The 26288-nt window shown below is 34.6% G+C and overlaps 1 long non-coding RNA gene across 2 annotated transcripts in view, besides 1 other annotated feature; it reads right to left on the bottom strand.

Moving 5' to 3' along the window:
* LOC105371657 (uncharacterized) overlaps nucleotides 1–26288 on the bottom strand; it is a 453818-nt gene that overhangs the window by 333219 nt on the left and 94311 nt on the right. The gene's annotated exons all lie outside the window — the stretch shown is intronic.
* Nucleotides 1058–1258: a silencer, noted in NCBI's record as "peak539 fragment used in MPRA reporter construct". NCBI's record gives its function as "represses an SCP1 promoter by STARR-seq MPRAs in K562 erythroleukemia cells {active_cell/tissue: K562}" and the evidence as "EXISTENCE:reporter gene assay evidence [ECO:0000049][PMID:32103011]".

Raw genomic sequence — 26288 nt, 5'->3', positions numbered from 1 at the left:
TGTCTATAGATGACACAGTATAGAAAGATATTTCACCCCAAATAGACACCCTCCTCTCCATTTGGCCTGTTTCTTTCCCCATGTGAGAAATCAGCACAATCCAATGAATTTAAGCAGCCCCTCTGTGAAACAAATTAATTTTCTTCTGCTGGGAAGCATATTGTGGGACAGCCTATCAAGCCCCAAACCTCTCTTTCCAAATTCTGCATTAAAAGAATGGCCGGGCACAGTGGGTCATGCCTATAATCCCAGCACTTTGGCAGGCCAAGGCAGGTGGATATCTTGAGGTCAGGAATTTGAGACAAGCCTGACCAACATGGAGAAACTAAATTTCTACTAAAATTTCTACTAAATTTACAAAAATTACAAAATTTACAAAATTACTAAATTCTACTAAAATTACAAAATTACTAAAATCACAAAAATTAGTCAGGCATGGTGGTGCATGGCTGTAATCCCAGCTACTCGGGAGGTTGCAGTGAGCCGAGATCACACCATTGCACTCCAGCCTGGGCAATAAGAGTGAAACTCCATCTCAAAAAAAAAGGTATTTGGAGACAAAGATACAGCTTTACATTTCCATCCCTATTAAGCCACCTGATGAGATGGGACTTCTTTCCTTAGGGAGCCCAATCAGTCTTCTGCCCAAAACTCTTAGTTTTCCAATTACATACCTCCCTCTGGCCACTCAGCAGAGGCCATGTCCCTTGCCCCATTTGAAAATAAAAAAAAAAAATTACCTTATGATAGGGAGGAAGAAGAAAGCCTAGGCAGACAGATGTTTGCTTCTATGCTGTCTCCACAGAAGGAAAGGAACCAGCCTGACATGTAGGTTCTTTAGAAGCATCTCTTTCGTCTCCAGGTGCAATAGCACTTAGACAAAAATGAGGAACTATATTTGGAGATTAATCATTCCCATTTTCTGGCATGTCTTATTCTGGCCCAATCTCTGAACTGCATAATGAAGAAAGAATTTAGGGACTGCCTTAGAAGGTCCCCTCCATTGAGGCTTTTGGCCCAAATTCAGCTATCCCAGTGTCTCTTTGGGGGCCCAAGATGGAAATCTAGAAAGGCAACTAGGCTAGGATGGCAAAGAATCCAAAGCGAAGGAATAGGACAGGTAAGCATGATTACACATGGCAACTAGCCCCCAGAATCCATGGATGAAGGTAATGCTTCCATCCATTGGTGGCACCTATGAAGGTCACTGGGACCCAGAGGATACAGAGAGGGTCACAGCAGAAAGAAAAAAAAAAAGTGTTTTTTATTTGGGTTTTTTGTTTTTTGTTGGGGTTACAGGAACGCAGCAGGGAATGGGGACTAGTCCAAGACCTCTGCTTCATTAATTAGCCTATGGTTCCAATTCATCTTGTGGTTCCCAAACCCTATAGTTTGCTAACTCAAATACCTGAGGAAACTAAATGGTTCACAGTCCTGGACTTGAAGGAGGTCTTTTTCCACATACCATTACACTCTGACTCCCAATACCTGTTTGCATTTGAGGATATCTCCCACCAAGCCATTCAGTTAACCTGGATGGTGCTGCCTCAGGGATTCTGAGACAGCTCGTACTTGCTTGGGCAGGTCTTGTTAAGAGATCTCTGAGTTTTTTCATCCTCAGGTTAAAGTTTTGCAATATGTAGATGACATTCTCCTCTGTGCCCCAACCAAGGAACCCTCTCAGGAGGGCACTAAGGCTCTTCTCAAATTTCTAGCTGACAGTGGATATAAGGTTTCAAAATATAAGACTCAGTTCTGTCAAACTGTAGTGAACTACCTTGGTCTATCCTTCTCAGAAGTTATCAGAGCACTCAACAAAGAAAGTATTAAGCCCATCTCTTCTTTTCTCCTCCCCCAAATCCTCAAACAGCTGAGGGGATCCATAATTTGCAGATTATGGATACCTGGGTATGGTGAGATGGCTTACCTTGTATATCACCTCATAAAGGAGACTCAGGCAGCTAAGACTCACTCAATACTTTGGAGATCAGAGGCTAAAGGGATCTTTAACCAATCAAAGCAAGCCTTGCTTAAGGCACCAGACCTTAGTCTTCCCTTAGAAAAGACATTCAAGCTTTATGTATCAGAAAGGAAGGGAACGACCCTGGGAGTTCTAACGCAGGCCCAAGATCCAGCCAAGTAGTCCATAGGCTACCTAAGCAAGGAGCTTGATTTGGTAGCTAAAGCATGGCTGTCCTGTCTCTGAGTAGTTGCCGCAGTAGCCTTGCTGGTGCCGGAGGCTACTAAGTTAACCACAGGGAATAACTTAACAGTTTATATTCCCCATAATGTGGCAGGACTGATGTTCTCTAAAGGGAATCTCTGACTAACAGACAACCACCTCTTCAAATTTGAGGCTCTGCTGTTAGAGGGATGTACAGTCTAGTTAAGAACCTGTCTCTGTGTAAACCCAGCCACCTACCTCCCAGAGGAAGCTGGAGAGCCTGAGCATGACAGTGAAAAGATAGTGGTATAAACCTATGTGGCCAGGAAGAAGCTCAAAGAAATTGCCTTAGAAAACCTAGAATGTGTGTCTGGAATTGGTTCCTTCCAGTGGATTCTTGGTCTCTCTGACTTCAAGAATGAAGCCACGGAACCTCGCAGTGTTACAGTTCTTAAATTTGGTGTGTCCAGAGTTTGTTCCTTCAGATGTTCAGATGTGTCCGGAGTTTCTTCCTTCCAGTGGGTTTGTGGTCTTGCCTACTTCAGGAGTGAAGCTGCAGACCTTCGCAGTGAGTGTTACAGCTCATAAAGGTAATGCAGACCCAAAGAGTGAGCAGCAGCAGGACTTATTGCAAAGAGTGAAAGAACAAAGCTTCCACAGCGCGGAAGGGGACCCAAGCGGGTTGCCGCTGCTGGCTCAGGTGGCCAGCTTTTATCCCCTTATTTGACCCCACCCACATCCTGCTGATACGTCCATTTTACAGAATGCTGGTTGGTCCATTTTTACAGAGTGCTGATTGGTGCACTTACAAACCTTTAGCTAGACACAGAGCGCTGATTTTTGTGTTTTTACACAGTGCTGATTGGTGTGTTTACAAACCTTTAGCTAGACACAGAGCGCTGATTGGTGCATTTACAATCCTTTAGCTAGACAGAAAAGTTCTCCAGGTCCCCATCCAATTAGCTAGACACAGAGCACTGATTGGTGTGTTTTTACAGAATGCTGATTGGTGTGTTTACAAACCTTTAGCTAGACACAGAGCGCTGATTGGTGCATTTACAATCCTTTAGCTAGACAGAAAAGTTCTCCAGGTCCCCATATGACCCAGAAGCCCAACCAGCTTCACCTCTCAAATGGATTCTATTTATGGACAAAAGTTATTTTGTAGAAAAAAGAATCCATAAAACAGGATATGCAGTAGTCACCATGAGTGACATTATTGAGGGTGTGATTCTCTCCCCAGGCACAAGTGCTCAACTAGCTGAGCTGATCACTCTCACAAGGGTGTTTGAATTAAGTAAAGGGAAATCACTTAATATTTATACTGATTCTACATATGCTGTCCTATTCCTCTGTACCCATGTCAATATCTGGAAAGAAAGATATTTCCTCACAGCTAATGGGTCTCCCATTAAATACCATCAGGAAATTGACAAAGTATTGTCTTCAGTTTCCTTCTATGTGAAGTAACACTTTACATTGTAAAGGTCACCAAAAGGGGATAGATGAAATAGCCAAGGGAAATAGATTGGAAGACCAAATATCTAAGTCAGCAGCAAAAAGGGTCCAGAGTTTCAATACACTTGAGGTCCCTTGAATCTGGAAGGATGCCATAAGAGAAATAAAACCTCAGTATTCTTCTGCAGAGAGAGAATGGGCCACTTTTTAAGGATATGCTTTTTAGCCCTTGGAATCGCTACAATTGGAGGACAGCAAACTTCATTTGCCAGACACCAGACAATGGACAGCTCTTAAAAATCTTTCACCAATCCTTTTACCTAGGAAAAGATAGAACTTTTCAATCGGCTCAAAGACTGTTAGCAAAAAAATGAAGGGTATATGCTATAGTAAACACTTCTTGTTGCTTCTATGTTAACTCTTCAGGAAAGGTTGAATTTAGGGCTAACCATCTACTTCATAGAGCTACATGGTTAAGAGATGCTAAGAGCTCTATGGACGGAAAAATATGGAATACCATTCAAGGATATCTTCTCTCAATGGCATGCTTTCTCCCCTTGTTAGGAACCCTGGTAATGGTTATCTTGGTCCTGCTTTTTGGACCCTGCGTATTAAACCTCCTTGTAAAATGTGTTTCTTCTCACCTTGAGGCCATCAAAATTCAAATGGTGACGCAGATGGAATCCCATGGGAAACAGTCCTTTTTCCAAGGCCCACTAGACCTCCCTCTGGAGGACCCCTGACTGCCACACAAATGACAATCCCTCACAGTTTAAAGAAGCCAGAGTGGTCATCTCCCCTTTTTCCCTAACAGCAGTTAGAGTTACTGCTTCAGAGGGTGCGTCTGCACTGCACCTGTAGCTAATGGGAAGAAATGTTAAGAACTTTCCCTTATGCCAGCATTTTGCTCAGAAAGGACTGTTAAGGAATTATCTTGATCACAAATTATGAATTTGTGATAACAGGACACTAGCATTGTGGTTTTAGACCCTCCCATGGGTTTCACTTAGGCACTCATGGGTAATAACCAGATAGAGTCACTCTGGCCAATCCCAGGCATGTGCAGAGGCAACACCCTTAAAAGGGAACATTACCACCCCCCCACCATTTTGAGCATAACCCACAGAAGAATCCCTTGTTCTTGCCACATAAATCACCCAGAATTTAGCCCCATCTCTGGCAACCCTATTTCAGGTCCCCTTTCTTTGCTGAAAGCTATCATTTCGCTTAACAAATCCTACTCTAATCACTCTCCAGTGTCCATGTCCCTTATTCTTCTTGGCCATAGAACAAGAACTCAGACCTAGCTAGCTGAACCAGGGACTAAGCTGACTACAATATAATTTTCTTATAAATATTGTTTATGTTGATATATTGCTTCCCAGACTGTTACCTGCTAAAAATTATGAGTTTTTATTGTTACATAAAATTTTACAAATTGCTGGAAAAATATTTTAACATGTTCTTTATGATTTTCATTTTTAATATTATTAAAATGTTGCTAGATATTATTCCATTTTATTTATATTTTATTCTAGTACTTACAAATTTTTGTTTTCTGGAGTTTTTTCTAGGTTTATTTTATATGTTCTGGTCTTTAGTTCATCTGAAATTTTTATTTTACATATCAAAAAAAAGAGTTCTATCTAATTTGTGAATATTATTTTCCTACTAATTTTGGATGACACCACTATTATTTATCAAATTTAAATATATAAATAGAATTGTTTCATAATTCACTTTCCAGTTTCTATAATATGGTAATCTATTTCAGCATGAATAGATAACTTTTTAAATTGACTGTACACTACTGAAATATTTTATTATTTAATTATCATATTGTGAAGTGTAAATATTTTGAAATGTTAACCATTCTTGAATATTTAAACAAATCACCTTAGGTAATATATAAATTCAGTGTATAATTCGATTTCATTTTATATTATTCTGAATTTTTGTATTTATCTATATGTGTTAAATTACCACATAATTTACTTTTATTGAATTTTATTTGGCATGTTATCATGGTAATTCTTATTTTTTAGGATTATTTGGTAATTTCTGACCTTCAATTAAATGAAGTAATTTATACAAAATTAAAATTATCTTCTAGGAAACATTTTATGTATACAGAAGTGTAATTAACTATCTCTTATAGCACATCAGAAACATATAGTATACTTTCAATATTGAAGGAATAAGAATGAAATAAAGGTTGTTGGGGCTCTGAACCATTTTTTCAGTTCACATAACATGGCTGTACCGTGGGCACAATTAATATTATACAAAATGTTTTGAAAAATATCTACTCATGTTAAAACATATTTTATTAATTTGTGATGCCATGAGCAAATATGAGAAAACCAATGCATATAATGATAAAATCATAGGGCATATTTTAAATAAAGGTAATTTATGGAAAAATGTGATAAGCATTTGTATAAGTGTTTAATTATGCAAAAAATAATTAGCAACTTATGAATTTATAAAAATTATAAAATTATTGTGACTAATAGCTGTCTTAGGAAAAAGCACGGATTGTTTCTGGTTCTGATTTATTATATTTACACTTTGTTTTATTTCTCATCACCAAACCTTGGTAGAGGTTTTTCATCATGGTATTCTGATACACAACTAACAATATAAAGCAATGCAAAAAGGAATGAGAGGATCAGAACACATCAAAATGAGTGCCCCTTCTCATATAATTTAGTACTATATGAAGAATTACGGTTGATTCTATGTCACTTCAGGTACAAAATATTCTAATTCTGTAATAAATTAAAGTTTTTATTAATTACTATACCTGAAAATAAATTTCACTAACGTCATTCATAGAAATGTTAATTACAATTTTATTTGTCTCACTAATTTCATTAAAATTATTTCTCCAGATTTTGCTTACAAATTCATTAAAATGGAGACATTTAAATGAATTAATTAACAGATACATTTATCTTAAAGAAAACTAACAGATGTGGCAGATAAAACACCATAGTTATAGTCCACGCACCGAAAAGCAAAAATGAACAATATATTTAAGTTAGTCATACAAATTAATGTAAGCTTATACATTCTGGGACTGAAATAAATATTTCCTGTAAAAACTTACATTTCAGTTACAACCTGCGGTTTAAATACTATAATTATTTGAAGAACTAATTATTAATAGCAAAACTTAAATTATTTTAATAATTTTTCATATAGTGTTGAAAAGTTTGGAGGAAAGTGTTTAGATGTACAGAATAGTTTAGTGACTATTTTATAAAAAGAAATAGAAATGTAATACCAGCTCAGTTTTATTAACGACTATATTTATTGAAATTGAGAGTAGGAAAGTAGCATAGTTGTCAAAGCTTGGACACTTGATTTAAAATATGAGAAAAATAAAACCCATAAGGGTTAGTTAGCCTCAAACACAAGCCAAGCCTATAATTCAGAATTTCCTTATTTCTTAGCCAAGTTCTCATTCTCTGAGTAGCTTCTAGAAGCAGAAAATGACAATAATCTAAAAGAGTAGGCTGTCTGTGTCATCCTCATGTTTACATAATTTATTAAAACTAAATTTAACAATAATAGAATATTTCTAAGTAGAAATGGAATTTTAATAATTAAATTAAGAATCAATATAATTGGTATGAGATTATTCAATTAGATTACTATTTGTTAAGGTTGCTATTGAAAGAAGCATCAATATTGGGAATTTGATAACATGGTTTTAATGACTTCTTTCATTTTTAATATTGAATGATCCTATGAAAACACAAGGTGGATATCATAATATCTTATCTCTGATTTTCCTTCTAAGATCACTTTTGTAAGTTGTAAGGTTTTTTCCTTAATTTTTCTAGTTTCAAGTCTACTTATTGAGTAGATTTTCAAATTTGGTACAATTCATTTACTAAAATGTTCAGAAGGACTTTTTGTAATGATATACATTTTTATGTTGAGGTAAAGATTATGTGCTTATCTGATAAAACACCAGCATCTTGCAGCATCTTAAAATGAGTAAACCTACTTTTGCCTATTAATATGCATTTATTTCTGCAGTTGATAGAGTGATATTTTCCACTGAAACAAAAATATGAATGTTCATAAATTGAACATTAGTAGAAGATAAATTTTTCCACTGCTTTTGGAAAATATACTGACAATAAACAGTAGGTGGTAAATCCATCTCAATTTTAATTATAAATAACACACAAGCGTTCTTTTCACCTATTGTTTGAATAATGAGAAGTTAAATAAGTTACAGTGAAAACAAAACAATTATAAAATTGAATACCACAGAATTTTTGTGGTTTATTTTTTTCTTTTTAAATTTTGTGGTGTAACCCTATGGAAACTCAGTAATGATATTTTCAAATATTATTCTCAAATTCATTGATAAAAATAACATATTTATTCAAGTTGTTTATTTAAAACTTATTTTTTCAGCTTTGTAGCTTTGTTCTCTTTGCTTAGGATTGTCTTGGCTATGCAGGCTCTTTTTTGGTTTCATATGAAATTTAAAGTAGTTTTTTCTAATTCTGTGAAGAAAGTCAATGGTAGCTTGATGGGGATAGCATTGAAACTATAAATTACTTTTGGTAGTATGGCCATTTTCATGATATTGATTCTTCCCATCCATGAGCATGGAATGTTTTTCTATTTGTTTGTGTCCTTTCTTATTTCCTTGAGCAGTGGTTTGTAGTTCTCATTGAAGAGGTCCTTCACATCCCTTGTAAATTGTATTCCTAGGTATTTTATTCTCTTTTTAGCAATTATGAATCAGAGTTCACTAATGATTTTGTATGCTACCTGTCTTCAAACTATACTACAAAGCTACAGTAACCAAAACAGCATGGTACTGGTACCAAAACAGATATATAGAACAATGGAACAGAACAGAGGCCTCAGAAATAACACATACATCTACAACCATCTGATCTTTGACAAGCCTGACAAAAACAAGCAATGGGGAAAGTATTCCCTATTTAATAAATGGTGTTGGGAAAAATGGCTAGTCATATGCAGAAAACAGAACTTGGACCCCTTCCTTACACCTTATACAAAAATTAATTCAAGATGGATTAAATACTTAAACACAAGACCTAAAGCCATAAAAACCCTAGAAGAAAACCTGGGCAATGCCATTCAGGACACAGGCATAGGCAAAGATTTCATGACTAAATACCCAAAGCAATGGCAACAGAAGCCAAAATTGACAAATGGGATCTAATTAAACTAAAGAGCTTCTGCACAGCAAAAGAAATTATCATCAGAGTGAACAGGCAACCTACAGAATGGGAGAAAATTTTTGCAACCTACCAATCTGACAAAGGGCTAATATTCAGAATCTACAAAGAACTTAAACAAATTTGCAAGAAAAAAACAAGCAACCCCATCAAAAAATGGGCAAAGGATATGAACAGACACTTCTCAAAAGAAGACATTTACGCAGACAAGAAACATATGAGAAAAAGCTCATCATCACTGGTCATTAGAGAAATGCAAATAAAATCATAAGGAGATAACATCTCATGCCAGTCAGTATGGTAATCATTAGAAAGTCAGGAAACAACAGAATGGTAATCATTAGAAAGTCAGGAAACAGCAACAGGAGAGGATGTGGAGAAATAAAAAAGCTTTTACACTGTTGGTGGGAATGTAAATTAGTTCAGCCATTGTGGAAGACAGTGTGGCGATTCCTCAAGGATCTAGAACCAGAAATACCATTTGACCCAGCAATCCCATTACTGAATATATACCCAAAGGATTATAAATCATTATACTATAAAGACACATGCACACATATGTTTATTGTGACACTGTTAACAATAGATTAATAAAATAAAAAAGACTTGGAACTAGCCCAAATGCCCATCAATGATAGACTGGATAAAGAAAATGTGGCACATATACACCATGGAATACTATGCAGCCATCAAAAAGGATGAGTTCATGTTCTTTGCAGGGACATGGTTGAAGCTGGAAACCATCATTCTCAGCAAACTAATACAAGAACAGAAATTCAAACACTGCATGTTCCCACTCATAATTGGGAGTTGAACAATGAGAACATACAGACACAGGGAAGGGAACATCACACACCAGGGCCTGTCAGGTGGTGCGGGGGTAGGGAAGGGATAGCATTAGGAGAAGTAACTAATGTAGATGATGGGTTGATGGGTACGGCAAACCACCAGAGCATGTGTATACCTATGTAACAAACCTGCACGTTCTACACAAGTATCCCAGAACTTAAAGTATAATAAAAAAAATTAAAAACAAAAACAAAAAAAAAAGTATTTTTAGGGTAGCAGATCCAATTTAATCATATAAATTTAAGTTCAAATAATCAATTAATTTATGTACCTTACTCCACATAATACTATTTAATTTGAATGAAACAAATTTTAGAAAGATAGAGATGGAATTGTTTTGAAAAGGAAAACCGGCCACATTTTAGGCTAATACGAAAATAAAAGCCAAAGATAATCTCTAAACTCAAACATAAAACATAAATATGTAATCACATGATGTTTGTCTTAGTGTCTTAGGGTAAACTGTAGTTTAATCTTATACAATATTTGATTCCATATTAAATAAATATATCATTAAAAATCACTTATAATAATTATTTATTTAATTTGTTGCAGGAGACGAAAGACAAATACTTGGTTGGTTGTTCTACAGTGAGCAGGTATATGCAAACCTACCTCAAAAGTGGGGAGGGAAATAAGAGGCCAAAGAAAGAGACTGACAAATTGTTTCTCAAAACGAAACATTTACTGGGGAATTACAAACAGAAGCAATGACTTGGGCAGCTATGAGAACGTGAATCCCCACACCAGCCCTCCAGAAAGTATTCTTTATATAGCAAGCTTTTAGAGTAAAATGTGCAGCAGAATGTCTTAAGATTTTCTTGTCAAGATATGTAATCACTGGGAAGGTTTGATAAGGATCTTTATGAGGGGTTATCCATGTTGTTGGCATTATTTAAGGATCTTATTTTAGAACACCTTGGTATGTATGGAGCAAACTAGTCCTCATTGCAGTTTTGCTTGAAAATGGCTTCACTCTTGCCACACAACTGGCGGTTTTGCTTCATTGGTAAACTTGTTAAGTTTACAACTAAATAGCATGTTTTCATTAAATATCTCAGAAACAAAATGTATAGATTCTTTTCTTTAGGTACATTAAATATTATAACAAATTGAGGCAAACTGGCGAAGAATACTCGCTTTGGATTCAGAAGTCCTGAGTTTGCCTTTGGCCTTACCCTAAATTTGGCTACAATTAAAGTATGTAATGAGAAATAATCTTCTTCAAACAAGCAGATAAAACTTCATGTAGGCCATTGAAACACAGTGATTTTGGAATCTCTACTGAGATGCTTCAAGGAAAATGTAAAATAATCAGTATTGTGTTTTGGGAGTATTATTCTAATTGTAGTGAAGCATTGGATTGAAAAAAACTTAAAAAGGAATGGGGTGTTTTTGAAAAAAAAATTCAATATTCAAATTAGAAATGACAGCTATCTAAACTAATACAGACTGATGATGGCAAAGAAAAGAACAAATAAGAATAACATTAGATATTGTGAATATGGACAATAGCAAACATTTGCATATAATTTTACTGATGTGGGTATCAAGGCACTGGGATTTTAACTTTTCCAAAGTTATTCAGGTAATGAAAGAATGTGATTTGAAACTGGATGTTTTACCTCCAGAATCCATGTACTTAATAGACATCGCTTCATAACAATATCAACTGCACAGGGTAAGTAAAGAACAGAGAGGTGAAAGATAATTTCCACATTTCAGGTTTAGGTAACTGAGTGTGTGGTCGTAGCATTCACTGTAATAAAAATTATACATTGAAGAACAAAACGATTTGTCAATAAGGAAACAAATAATTACAGAACTGTTACTGCATGCCAGTCATGTTCTAAGAACACAGTTTCGTGTGTGTGTGTGTGTGTGTGTGTGTGTGTGTGTTTTACTTCAGGACTCAGATGAAAAAGTAGTTTCCAACAAGGACTGTGAAGTCTCAAATCAGTAAAAATAAATAATTGAATAAATAAATGAATAAATACATGTAGCAGAGTCATACAATGGTTCTTACATAATCTGTCAGATTTGGTATATACCATTTCATTTGCCAGAGAAAGTAACATGGGCTAGATTAATATGAATGAGTGGAAAGAAGTATCCTCCCACAGGAAGAGGCACCAGGGTGAAGTCCTGTAAGTGCAGCTAGATAATTTTTTAAGAGTTTGTTAGAACAAAAGCACAATATCCCAAATAGAGGTAAAAAAATTTCACCATCAGGACAGGAAATTTGAAGTGAAAAGGTACTTGACAGGAATGACCTGAGTATGTACACGTGTCATGGTGTAAAGAAAAAAAATAAATTTAGTTGATGCATATTGAGTTTGAGACTATAAGTCTCCTTTGTTGATTTACATTCAGCATTTGTTTCTAATTTTTAGAAATGACATTGAAGAGTAGAGAAGTAGTTTTTGAAAAAAAAAAGTTCAGAGAGGAGTGAGCAATAAAAAGGGAAATTAAATTATTATCTAGAACATAAAACACAGTGATTTCAAGGATGGTAAGAGATAACTGGTGATTAATCTTCAATCATGAAGTAGTAAAACAAAGATTTTCTCCTAATGTGCATCACATATGTTTGCAATCTTTAGTATGACTAGAACAAAACTTAAGCTTTGCGTGCTATTTAGAAAAATCACAAAGAATACTAATTATTGGAATGATTTTCATGTCTGATAGTTTCAGTTATCTGACACTGGTATTCTAGTACTTAAAATAATCCCCTTTTCCACTATGTGCCTAAAAAATTGCCTTTTATTGATGTACACTGGAGTAAATAATGGTATAGTCAAAATTAACCATGTGTCTTTCCAAAAAAAAGAATAAATCTGCTCTCAGTGAGGATCTATGGTTTCTCTGAAGAATAAAGGATGTTCAAATTAGTATATGGAAAGTAAAGACAGGAACCTTAAAAAAGGTATTTAAAATTTCATTAGAATTAGCAGCAGAAGAATGTATTGGAGGAGGAGCAAACAGAAATGAAGAAAAAATAATTTGTGCAGCTAATGTGTTAAGGGAGAGGCTAGGTAAGGATGACAGCTAGTAAGAGCTATCTTGGAAAGGTTTCTAGTATTTTTAATTAAAAAATTTCAAACATTTTACAGACTTAAGTTTGAAAAACATGGAAATACCAACATCCCCCCCAAAAAGTAGTGGAGATGTAATGAAGCAGTTCTCTAAAAATGAATTAAGCAATGAGATGTCGAGAACAAATGAATAAATCAGAGAAAACCATGTGTATGTATTCATTTAAATGGAAAAGGTAAACTTGAGTCTAGATAAGATACAAAAAGAAAAGAACAGACATGAAATTCTATAATGATGCTTTCTATTTTCTCATTGAAGTATTATGTATATTCATGTGACAAGAGTAAATGGAATTAATGCATAAGTTACATTTGGAGAGTGAAAACATTTTAGAATAGCCAGTGTGGGAAATATTAATGAGTAATATTATCTAATAGAGATTGGGTGTTATAAACAACATCCAGGATTTCATTTAATCTACATTTTAATATTATTTTATTACGAATTCTCAGGTGAAGACTGAGGTCCCCAGATAATACCACTGATAACTAAAAGAGATAAACTTCTATTGCATGCACTTCTGACTCCAAATCTTATTCTCTTATTTATAACCTATAATATGATATCAAACGGTCCTGTTCTATGCTATTAGTCATGTATAGAAAAGGTCAGAGAGTTAATTTGAATTGAAGAGAATAAATTTTTGTTGGCACTGGTTTGTGCACTTCAGGTTAATTCTCAGAACTGCTCAATATTCTTCTTGAAATAGAAGAGAGTAAAATATCCCATGGTTGGTGTGCAATAGGTCAGTTCTGTAATAGAATAAGTTGGGGAGATAGCTGAGAGTACTAAAAGGAGATCAATTATAATTATGAATCATTAGGACAATATTAAGTGGCTGGAAGTAAAAGAATTGATTGATAACTTGACAAAAATAAAGAATACAATTTTGTTTAAATGAACTTAAAGCACAAGTGTAATAGCAATTGAGTAAAAAGGAGAAAAAGATTAGATGTTGAAATTAAGCTTGGTCTAAACTGCTCATGATTATGAGAGTTACTGAGAATCACTTGAAATCATTTGTGGAATGATGTAGGAAATAGAAATACATGTTACTAATTGTTTATATTTTTAGAACTTTTATAGATAATGGCATTTTTGAAACATTTAGATGATATTAATATTTTTTAAAGGTGAAAAAGAGAATTAAGTTTTGCATGTATCTGTGAAATGTAGGCTATTTTTATCCAAACTATTAGTGTAGATTTTCCTATACCTACAGTTTTTCTGGTCATATCTGTGATTCACATTTTTAATAGTATCATACTGGCATCTAATTTGCAGAGATTAACTGAAGATAATATTTAAAGACTATGAAAAATAAAAAAAAACAGTAAAATTTTACATACCAAAAACATAAAATAGATTGACTGTCCCTGAATAAAACTGTTATTTCTCTGCCATAATTGGATTTTCTTCAGTTTTCTGCTTTGTGAATTTCTACTCAACTTTTAAAAACAGAGTCAAATTTCTTCCTCTATAAAGAAATCCAGGAAGATTTCCAAACACTTTATTTACTGTATCCCAAAGATGGGTTTAACCCTTGCTGCCCACTGCCTCATAGAAATCTCTGCCATTTCAATTGTCATATTGAATTGTTATCCATTTGTTCGTAGGGTGTTTTATTTCACTATATGTATTTAACCAACATTTGGTAAATTCTTTGGCATCAGTGATGGTATTTTATTTTGTTTTGTGTCCTCTGCACATCTTAAGCATTTGGTAAGCATGATGTAACTCAGGAGATTAAATAAAGAGAACAGAAACAGACAAGGCAATGCATGTACCAGGAGGAGTGTGAAGATGGCAAAACTACCTGTCAGGCACCGTGCTCACTACGTGGGTGACAAAACCATTTGTACACCATACCCCAGCAACATACAATTTACCCTTGTAACACGTATGCCCATGTGCCCCCAAACCTGAAAGAAAAGTTGAAAGAAAAAAAATAAAATGAGATTTAAATATATATATATATCGAAATTTCAGTCCTATATGAGAATGTAAAAATGTTTTGCCTAATGTTCTTTGTTCTTTCAAATGATTTAAAAACAATAATTAAATGTAGAAAAGAGTAACAGTTACTTAGTGGAGCCACAAAAGATGAATCAGGCCCCATCACCTAGTGAATACATCAGGTCAAGGAAGGGAAGAAGAGGAAGCTTCCAATTATTTTAGCACAATTTTATTGACTTGAATTTGCCATAAAACATGAATTTTTAGAAAAGAATAGATTTTAGTTTTCTTGATAAAAGCTTAATGGATACATTTAGTTGAATCATGTAATCTTTTATATTATATAATCACATAATCTCCCTTTAGAAGAAGATGATATGTTTTCTTTTTACAAAAAAAAAATGCCAGAAACATGTAAGAAACTTTAAGAAATGTTATGATTTGATAGACCCTCAGGGTGACATCTTGCAAAGTTTAAAAGACATGAGTTAATTATTTTATAATTGCCAAAATTTTAAAAAATGTTTTAATGAGCAATAAAGGAATCTGGACAAATAAAAAAGAAAGAACAATTTTTATGTACAATTATAAGGGATGCTCACTAAAAGCCTAATGGATCTTTATTCCAAATCCAGGGGCTAGGTTGTTTACCAAAGCTGGGATATAAATAAAACACAGGAAATAAAGGCAGAAAGCCTTTCTCATGCCTGCCGAATATGCCTCATAGCTTCCACCTGGGGCTTTTCTGTTGACACTTTGGTATGAGACAATGGGTCCATAATCAGGGGCCACACATACACATTCTGGAAGGGTAGGGGTAATTTAAAATCTCATGGAATTAACCCTTGAAGAGTAGGAAAATAGAATCCATAGATTAATACATATATTAACCTATAAACAATAGGAAACATGAACCTATACTCTGGCTTTCCCTTTTCTCCCCAGACTGTCTTTCCTGCGACATAGTTAACTGGCTTCTCTCAAGACATACCTGCAGGATCCAGCACTCACATTTAGTTGGGGCTACTTTAAAAATATATCTTCAAATAGTCTCAACTTTATTCCTTCCCTGAATTGCTTTGTCCCTTACTCGCATTTTATGAGAGCATATTACCTAAAAAATAGTAGGACATAGAAGTACCTGAGACAGGAAAGTTGAATGTTGGACAACGTTGGAGAAAGTTAAAGATAAAATCTACCATTTTCTATATAGTAACCTCTTCTGTCATGGAAAGAGTCATCTATAGGAAGTACATATTTTCTCTGTTGCTCCAATTCATTAGAGTGTTACCTCAAACCCCACTCCATGTATAGAAAAACGCACTAGGAGACAAGGGCCAGTGATTGATGGGTAAGTGTATTAAGTTAAAGAGTTAAGAATTTAAACCACACTTGCTGGTATTGATATTTATTATTAATATATTCAGCACCTCGACCCCCGCCCCCTGCCCCGTTCTGGCCGCGCATGGTTGATGTACAAAAGCATAAATTGTCAGCCTCAAAAACGGAGTAAAAATGTCACCCTCCTCCTCTGGAAATGTCTGTGCAGTCTGAGACCAGCCAGTGAGAAAATACTATCAAATCAGAAAACAGCTTCGGACAAAAGGAAAACAATGAACGCTCTAAAATCGTGGGGTTTTTTGTTTGTTTGTTTTGTTTTTTAAAGATCACCCTGGATGGGAGGGGTGTCTAAAAAAAAAAAAAAAAGTGCAAGCGGACCTTTCCTCTCTGGTTTATTGTAACCTGACCACTCAATACTGTTATTGAGGGACTGAGGCGCCACAGGGTTGCGGGGTCTCAGTCTCCACGCCTGGTACAGCAGTTAAATCTCATCTGTAAACACAGGCCTCCGCCCCCCTCCTTCTGTTAACTATTAATCCCCTTTCTACCGCGGTTTCTGTTGTCGTTTTTTTTTAATTTTTTTTATTTTTTTTACTCTTGTGTATATGTAGGGAATTTATAGGGAAATATGTACTTTATGAAACAAATTTTAAGAACTAAAATATATTTTATTTTAAATAAAGTAATGGACCTTTAATCTTACACAACTAAATTACTGATTATATATTTGCTGAGCTGATTCAAGGGTTAAAAAATTGGATCAAACGTTTTACTTTTTCACTTCAAAGCCTTCTTAATAAAGCCTCTTTTCTGCATGTAAAAAAATATATTCAGCAAATAGGATGATATTTTGTACTTGCTGGTTACTCTTTATCATCTACTTAGAATGGATCAGAAGCTAAAACTTAAAGAGAATTATTTTTATTCTTTCTGAAATTCTAACATGCCCATGGAGCACCCTTTGCATCAGTGTGCCCTGGATGTGAGACATGAAGTCAAAGGAGACTATTTTGGAGCTTTAAGATTTAATGACTGCCCTGCTGAATTTCAGACTTGCGTAGGGCCAGTAGCTCCTTCGTTTTAGCCAACTTCTCCCATTTGGAGCACCCAATGCCTGTACCCGCATTGTATCTTGGAAGTAACTAACTTGCTTTTGATTTTACAGGCTCATGGGCAGAAGGGACTTGCTTCGTCTCAGATGAGACTTTGGACTTTTGGGTTAATGCTAAAATGAGTTAAGACTTTGAAGACTATTGGGAAGGAATGATTGCATTTTGAAATGTGAAGACATGAGATTTGGGAGGGGCCAGGGGAGGAATGATATGGTTTGGTTCTGTGTCCCCACCCAAATCTCCTCTTGAATTTTAATCCTCATGTGTCAAGGGAGGGACCTAGTGGAAGCTTACTGGATCACGGAAGCAGTTTCTCCCATGTTGTTCTCATGATAGTGAGTGAGTTCTCATGAGATCTGGTGGTTTTATAAGGGACTCTTCTCCCTTTGCTCCTCTCTTTCATGCCACCATGTGAAGAAGTTACCCGCTTCTTCTTCACCTTCTGCCATGATTGTAAGTTTCCTGAGACCTCCCAGGCCATATGGAATTGTGAGTAAATTAAACCTCTTCTCTTTATAAATTACCCAGTCTCAGGTAGTGTTCTTTATAGCAGTGTCAAAACAGACTGATACACAACACTAATATGAATGAACACATCGCTTAATTCTTCGCATATTACTGTCTAATTGCTTATAAGTTTAAGTGCACAGAGTGAAAGAAAGAAACGTGTTTCCTTAAAACAAATTTCCCTATTTTTAAACTTGAAAGATTACAGTTACATAGTTAAACAAACAATTTTCTAGGCAATTGTTTTTAAGACACACTAATAAATAATAATAGAAGAGAATCTTATCTTAGAAGACTGTTATTTAGACTTTTTTTTTTTTTGCAAAAATCAAATCACATATCCTTTTGTGAGGCAATAGCCAGTCCCCAAGATGACTGCCAATGACCCCTTCTCCCCATTCTTCCTACAATTCACATCCTTTTGTCCTCTCCTTTTGTAGTTTCTTCAAATACTTTGAGGGGATACAGCCTCTGTCCGTATCAGTAGTGTAAAATGTCTTATCGAGTGCAAGAAAAGATAACAATATTTATGACAGTACTTTCTACCACACTACCACTTCGTTCCGCTGCTTCTTTTAATCTATAAGAGTCACATACACAAATTTTAATATTTTGTATGAATTGTGACAACAGAACATAAGTCTTTTATTATGTTTCCTTTTTACTATTTCCTAATTTTTAATCAAAATACATATGTATCTGGGTATTTCTTTAACTCATTCAGCAACCCACTGTATCTCTTTTTTATCATTGCTTTCGGGGAAGTCATGTTGTAAACAGCCCTATAGAAAGGCCAAAGTGGTGAGGAATTAAACCTTTTGTCAATTATTACGAGTAAGCTTGGGAGCAGATTCTTCAATCCTAGTATAAACCTCACAGATGATAACCCCAGCCAACAGCTTGATTTTAGCCTCCTAAGAGACTCTGAGCTAGAACCACTCAGCTCAGTCACTCCTGGATACCTGGCTCACACAAACTGAGATAGTAAATTTTTCAAGATAAATTGTGAGACAATTATTGTACAGCAATGCATAATTAATATATAAATTTAGTATTTAAATATGAAAAAAGAAAATATTATTTTCCATACAATACTAAAGGAAATTGTGTCATAGATTGTCATATATATTCATTGCTTTCAGGTTAGAGATAGGAAGTGTTCTTTGAGAAAGTCTTAATTTTGTTAAATCTTTGACATATACACTTTAAAATCAGGTGATCAACTTGGATAAAATATGTAGCAGTTATTATTATTGAAGTTATGTTTCATTGATAGTTTAATTTAGTAAAAAGGATATTCTTACACTGTCCAGTGTTTTGATCTATGGAAATAGTGCTTTTTTACTTTTTGCATGAGTTTTCAGCAATTCATGCAGAAAAACCTACCTCAAACTTCTCCATGCTTTTTAATTTTCTACATAAAGTGCTTGTACATTTTTATTGAATTTATTCTTAAATATATAATATTTTGTGCTATAATATATTTTTTATGTATTTATTATTTGTATTGATGAATGTCATTTGTTTTTACATGTATCTGGTAAATAGTAAATTAATTATATTATTAATTATAATAAAACCTTGATATCCTTTTGGGGGGATTCTACATAAAAAACACAAATCTTCAAAAATAATTAGAAAATTAGTAGATTATCTTTTCTTATTTTTGATATTGTCACAGGATCTTTTGGGTGTTGCTTCACCAGCTGGAAACCTCTGTGGCAGGTGGTACCTTCTGCCTGGGTATTGTTCCTGCCCACTGGGCATGTTCCACCCACTCAGCCTTGCAGGCTGTTCTCAGCATGCTATTGACCTGGATGTCACATCTGTCAAGAGTGAGCCAGGCACAGAGTGGTGAGGGGTGTGTATACAAGTGAGTATAGAGTCAGGCCGCTGCACAAAGCCAGGCACAACAGCTGCTGTGGTGGAGCAGTTAGCTCCAGGCACTGGCACAGGTGCTGGCTTCATGCGAGGTTACAGCTGGATCAGATGTACCACACACAGCTTCTGCTGTCTGCACCCATGTCTGGACAAGGGGAATGTGGTGGTGCCAAGAAACTTAGAGATGCCAGGAACTATACAGCCCCAAAGAGAGTTTCACAGGTCTGGGTTGGGGAGCTCCCAGGTCTTGGCTCCCTGAACGGCTGCAGGTCTTCTTCTCATTGCCCACAATATGGTCAGAAGGGAGGACTGTTTCAGCCCTTTTTGCATGACAGCTCTTTCAGTCCTGCCATTAGATGGGTCCCAAGTTCTTGTCCCATGTCCAGGAAGAATGGGCTATGCAGACAATTGGAGGGTGAGCAAGGTGGAGAGGAGCTTCATTGAGCGACAGAACAGCTCTCATAAGACCCAAACTGGGTAGAGCTCCTTTCTGCAGGCAGGTCGTCCTGATAGTGTCCAACTGTCAGTGGAAAGGGGACCTGCAGTAGGTAGCTCCTTTCTGCTATTGGTAGTTCTTACATCTGTTTGAGTCTGGCTCGGTCTGGGGTTTTTATGGGGTCAGAAAGGAGGAAGTGTGAGCTGATTGGTCCGGGGCAGCCATGGGTAGGCCTGGAAAAAGCAACGTAAGTTCTCACACTAGGCCATGGACTCCATCTGGAGCTGACAGCCCTGACCCCAAGCTTCAGGCCATCCCTCTTGAAAGTGGGGTTTCACCAGGGACCTTCCTCTTTCCACCCAGGAGCCTGTCTGCCTCCTGTCATCATCAACATGTTGTCCATGGAGCCCAGGTTGTTTGTGCTGAGGGGCACCTGCAGACCCATGCTGAGCCTCCCTCAACCTCCCCTTGGCTTCCCTCTTATGATCGTTGGTGCCCAAAGTTGGAAGGGGGCCAAGGCAACTGGGGTCTGGCATGTCAGCAATGCCCCAAGCACACACACACCTGGCCAGGTTGCAACAGCACTCAGGCTGGGCCACAACTTTGCTCCAAAATCAGAGTGGGTGCTAGGAACGAGGAGAGGCCAGGGACAGGAGCAGGCACTTCCAAACCTAGTGGGGAGAGGGCCTTCCTGGGCCTATGAGAGTGAAGAGATCCCTGGGGTCGGAGCAGTGGCTGGGTGACTGCAGCTGCACCCCTGATTGTGGGGCTCCCACCCTGCTAACTCAATAAAGGCCGGGGCTCCTGCCTGTCCCTGGTTCCCACCAGCCCCAGGAAGCACAAAACCCCAGCAACTCCAACCCCGCCGCAGCCAGTGTCTTCACAGCAGTGGCTCCAGATGGGCCATCACTGCCATCAATACTATATATTTTAGGTCTGGCATCTATCTATTATCTTTCTAATTTATCTATTTTTATCTTACTGCATTCACTAAAGACTCCAGGATTCTTCATGTAAGTTCATAGAAAGATGATGAGAGTGAGCATTATTTCCTGTCTCTTATTTTAAAATATTGATTTATATTTATTTTGTAGAAAACAACTATTCTTACTAGTTTCTTTGGAGGTTTTTTCTTTTATAAAAAATAACATATTTATTCTACTATTAAAGGAGATATACCTATTAATTCAACTTCATTTTTTTACTATTACAAATAATGCTGCAATAAATATTCTCTTGCATGTTTATATATCCAATTATAAATGTAATTTTGGAAAAGACAACTGGATAATTAATAAACTACAAAGAATGTGTTTGTTATTTTCATGTTTGAGAGGAGAGAACTACAAATGAGGAAAATTAAATACCTTGCCCAAAGTCATGTGTTAGAAAGTGGCAGATGCATGGCATAAAAAAAAACATATATTTGATGTAAAAATTCCAATTTAAATCAGTTTGTAGGTCCACATAAACCTGATGCTGCTTCTTTTATGAAATATTCTAAACTCTCTCCCCCATGCTTCAAAAGTGATTGTATACAATGACACATCAAATTTTCTGATACTATTTTAAAAGTTTTATAAGAGCTCAGCAATGTAGATAAATCACTAATATAGGAATTCATAGAAATAAATTACCAATGTCCAAATCTCATTAAGTAGAGAGAAAAATTTCTCCCATGAAAAGTGATTTTACATAAATAAAAAGAAATGTGGATTTTAATATTTTATTAGCCATAGACTTTGAATAAGTTATCATTTCAATAATCATGAAATTGCTTATTTGTAAAATGTGATAGTAATCTCTGTCTTATACAAGCTGTAATAGTAGTAGTAATAATAATAATGGCTTACATTTATATAGTGCACACTTTTTTCCTAGGCATATTTCTAAGCACAGTTTGTTCTGTTCTCACAGTATCACTATTTGAGCACAATTATTTTTCTTTTTTTGGTAAAGAATCTGGGGCATACAAAAGTAAAAAAATATGTTGAATGCCTCACAGATAGCAAATGGTAGAAGAAGGCTTTGAACTTAGGCAATCTGCTTCTGAATCTGTCCCTTTAGCCAATACAACATAAAACCTCATATTCTGGTTTATGTTGCAGATTCAAAGTTTTTGTAAGTATCTTTCAAAACAACCTGAACCTATAAATGTTCTGCATTTCTCAAATATTTTTGTTTCATTTAATATTTGTATATGTTCCTTTGCCAATTTTATCAAGATATAATTAGAACCCAATAAAGTTTTTTTTTAATAAATAGATATTAACAAAGCAGTTTTTAGTATTTCAGTATAGGTTTAAAATATTTTGATAAGAAAATTCTAATATAATCACCTTGCAAAAAATGCATACTAGGAAATGAGAAATATTCATGAGCTATGAAGCCATCAAGGTAATAAAAAAACATGTTTAGAAAAGCATGTTACCATTTTATTTATGTTTAAGCATGGAATTGAGCATGGCCACCTGCATACTACAAAAATGTTATAATACTATAAACTGAAAAGCATAATAAAGTATGCAAAAATCCCCACCGTCAGGATAAAATCTTGTAAATTTACTGCTGCAATCTTGAAAATGATTGTGTGTTATAGAATGTTTAAAAATATATACAAACTAGCAAATAATCATTATGTTGAGACTTTATGGCAGAGCTGAAACTACTCTACTTTCAAAGTTTTATTACAAATAACTTAGCACCTTTAGTAGCACCTGGCATGCTGAAAAAACTTCAGAGGTAGAGGCTCTGTTATATTTACAATGATTACGATGGTAACTATGCTGCTAACACTATACCATCATCATCATCCAACTCCCTCAAAACTTAAACAAACTATGCTGTGTTGTCTTGAATATCGAAGAACAGCATGGTGAATTAGGACCAAGTGGGTACATTTAAATGGCTGGAAAAGTCAGGGTCAAGACAATATAGCAGAATGGTGGAGTGCTAGACAGTTCTCAAAGCATAGTGCAGTTTTATTCAGAGACAGCTGATCCATTGCCTTGTGTTACTGACAAAGATTACAAAAATCTCTGCAGATGCCACAGATTGGGATCCCTTCAGCTCTCATTGTGTCCTATCTGCCCAAAACAGCCTTTGAAGGCATATATAATGAAGCCTTTTCATTATATATGAAAAACAAATCTGTATAAAATAAAATTTATGAAATATCTTTCTCATCTGATTAGATGAAGATACAGGGTCTAGAAGCTCATCAAAATCATTACTGAACTTTTGCTTCAGGGTTGTTTTTAAATAGAAACGATTTTATTTGGGATAATTCAATGTGTGGCTGTTCAACTATTTGCAAGTGAAACAAATTTTTTTAAAAAGATATTTGATAATATTTAACTATTCATGAATTGAACTGACATTAAAATAAGTCCACATTGTTTTTCAGGCAGATAAATTTTAACTTTCTTCCTATTGCAGTAGTATTTTCTGCTAAAAAAAAAGATGTATTTTCACAATATTTAACTTTTACTTCAATTTTACATGTTCAACTCCACAAAATTACATGGGGTGAAGGAAGCCCATATATAAATATATTATCACTGTAGGAAATTTTGTAAAATCCTACCAGCCAGCATGTTACCTAAGGAACAATAACGACAGGCCAGAACATAAAGTTTTTAAATATATTACATTGTGAAATATAATTATAATTTTAAGTAAGTTTAAAGACTTTTTTGTTTTCATTAGGTCTTAAACAAAAATCAATGTGACTAATTTTATTTTATTCTAATGAAGTAATTGGTCTGAATTTAGGCAAAGAGTAATTATTTATTTGTTCAAAATAATTTCATGTTTATTGACCTTATCCACCTAAAAATAATAGATTGTCAGCAGGTTTTATTCATTTATTAATTCATCCAACAAGCATTTATTGAGCACTTTTCTAAATTCTTTGTTCTAAAGAAGTAACTCTTGCTTTCATGGATCTTATTTTCTGGTAGATAACAATTAACAGGTGAAAGTGATCTGTATAAGTTCAGGTAGTGATGATTGCTTTAGAGAAAAATACTGCATACTTTAAGAGTAAAGTAGGAACACAGCTCTTGAAAGGGTGGGCAGGAAAGTCTGCAAGGATGATAGCTGATCACAATCCTAAATATACTGCAAAGTGAGGGAGAACATTTCAGAAATAATTAAAAAAAAAAAAACAGAAAGTGAAACGAGTGAATTAGAATTGAGCTTGTCCTATTCAAGGGAACTGAAAGAAATACCTTGTTTCAGAAGACAGAAAAAGTAAACTAGAGAGAACGATGAAAGATAAGATCATGGATAGGAGTAGGAAACCTAACATGTCTTTCAGGGTATATTGAGGGGGTTGGATTTTAATTTAAGACTATGAAAAACCAGTGAAGATTTTTATACATTTGGCATACAATATGATCTACATTGTATTTTTTATTAAGTTTTTCCAGGTATACTGAGGTGTAATTGACAAAAATTTATATATTTAATTGTAAAACATTTAAAAAATAAAGATTCAAGCTCAGGGTAGAATTGACTTTACAGAATTTTGATATAAATGAAGCAGGGAGATCAAGTAGGAAACTATTACAGTAGTCTAAGGCAAATATGACTAGAAGTGGTTGAATTTGGGATACATTAAAAAGGAAATATAGAGATTACTGATGTTGCAAATATGAAAATTGTTTCACTGAAACCAATCAATAATTACTCAAGAATTTTGGGCTAAACCACTAGGTAAATTATATTCCTATTCACCATTGATTAAGGTAGAGAGGAAGAACCATATTTCTATTTGATGTTTTAGAAATGTAAAATGAGATAAATTTTCCAGAACAATTCACGAATAACCCTCATTTATCTGTTAAAACCATCATTGTAAGGTCTTCGTATAATTCTTCCCAAAATGACCACCATTAATCTGAGGCATCTGGAAGTCAAGAGTCACACTTTTATTACCTATTTGCATTCGGTATAGTGCCTTATACAAAATAAAACATGCTGGTGCTCTAAAAATTACTGTTATTGTATTTTAAATCTCTGAATATACTAATTATGTTTACCTAAATATAATAATCCCCTATTAAATTTATCAAAAATGCTCAATTTTAACTAAAATTATAGCTAATGATTTACTATTTTATCTGTGAAGGTTTGCTATGGCAATAATATAGTTTTATTTGCCAACTTTACTTACTTACTACAAGCTAAAATTAATATTGAGTGAAGGGTAAAAATTGATAGTATGCATAATTCCATTGCCTTCTATTTCCAGGTTAAAATGTAATATTTCTTTTAGTAGAATTTCAGGTAGACTATATTTTTTCTTCTATAGAAAATCATTAGTGAAATAATTTAAAAGATAAGAATTGTATTGTCTATATATTACAGTGATTGTTGTAAGTATTGATATTTATGCGAGTTTATATTTTCTTTACTCTTACTACTAATGTATATTTGTTTCCAATTCAACATTATATTTTAATAGACACTGTTCCTGGTCCTTATAAATATTTTTATTTTTGATCAAATTATATGGCATACAAGATGGTAAAATTTTGAATAATTAGAATAATTTTCATTTGAATATTTTTGGGCATGATTATTATATTGTGTTAACTGTGAAATATTAAAGTACAATGACAACATAAAATTATGCTTTTTTTATTGATTCTTTCATACATTTATTTGAATGTAGCTATTATGTAAGAATTTTAATTTTTTAATGAACTCCAAATGCAATTGTTAAGGCATCCTTACTACAAGCAAGGAGTGGGAACACAGTCATAATATGAATGCAAAATTGTAGAGAGAAAAGTAATTGACATGATTTTTATTAATTTAAAAAGTTGAAAATATATTAAGTATTCCAAGTTAATTTTACATCTCAAGCACTTTATAAATCATTAAAAGCAGATGGTATACATGTGCAACATAAATTATGCATACAAATGATAGCAGATGCTAAGAATTAGTATGCTCACTATAATAATAAAAATGGAAAATTAATAAACACAAATAGTGTATTCAAATAATGGCTAATACACAAAATTTATTATTATGTCACTATGGAATAGGAAGATGTGTTTATTTAGTTCCAGAAGTTTTGATTCTTCTCCATCTGTCAACTTTATAGTCATTTCATCATCTTAATAATCTATTCATTTATTATAGTATATCCCAATCTCTCAATTCCTCTAATTCAAGATGATATAATCTCTGGGATAGATTCTCATAGTTTTTAATTGATTTCCTTGAATTGATTC

The sequence above is a fragment of the Homo sapiens genome, chromosome 1, assembly GCF_000001405.40.
Source record: "Homo sapiens chromosome 1, GRCh38.p14 Primary Assembly".
In the NCBI taxonomy this organism is placed as follows: Eukaryota; Metazoa; Chordata; class Mammalia; order Primates; family Hominidae; genus Homo; species Homo sapiens.
The sequence above is the reverse complement of the archived record's forward strand: the minus strand, read 5'-3'. Positions and strand labels throughout refer to the sequence as shown.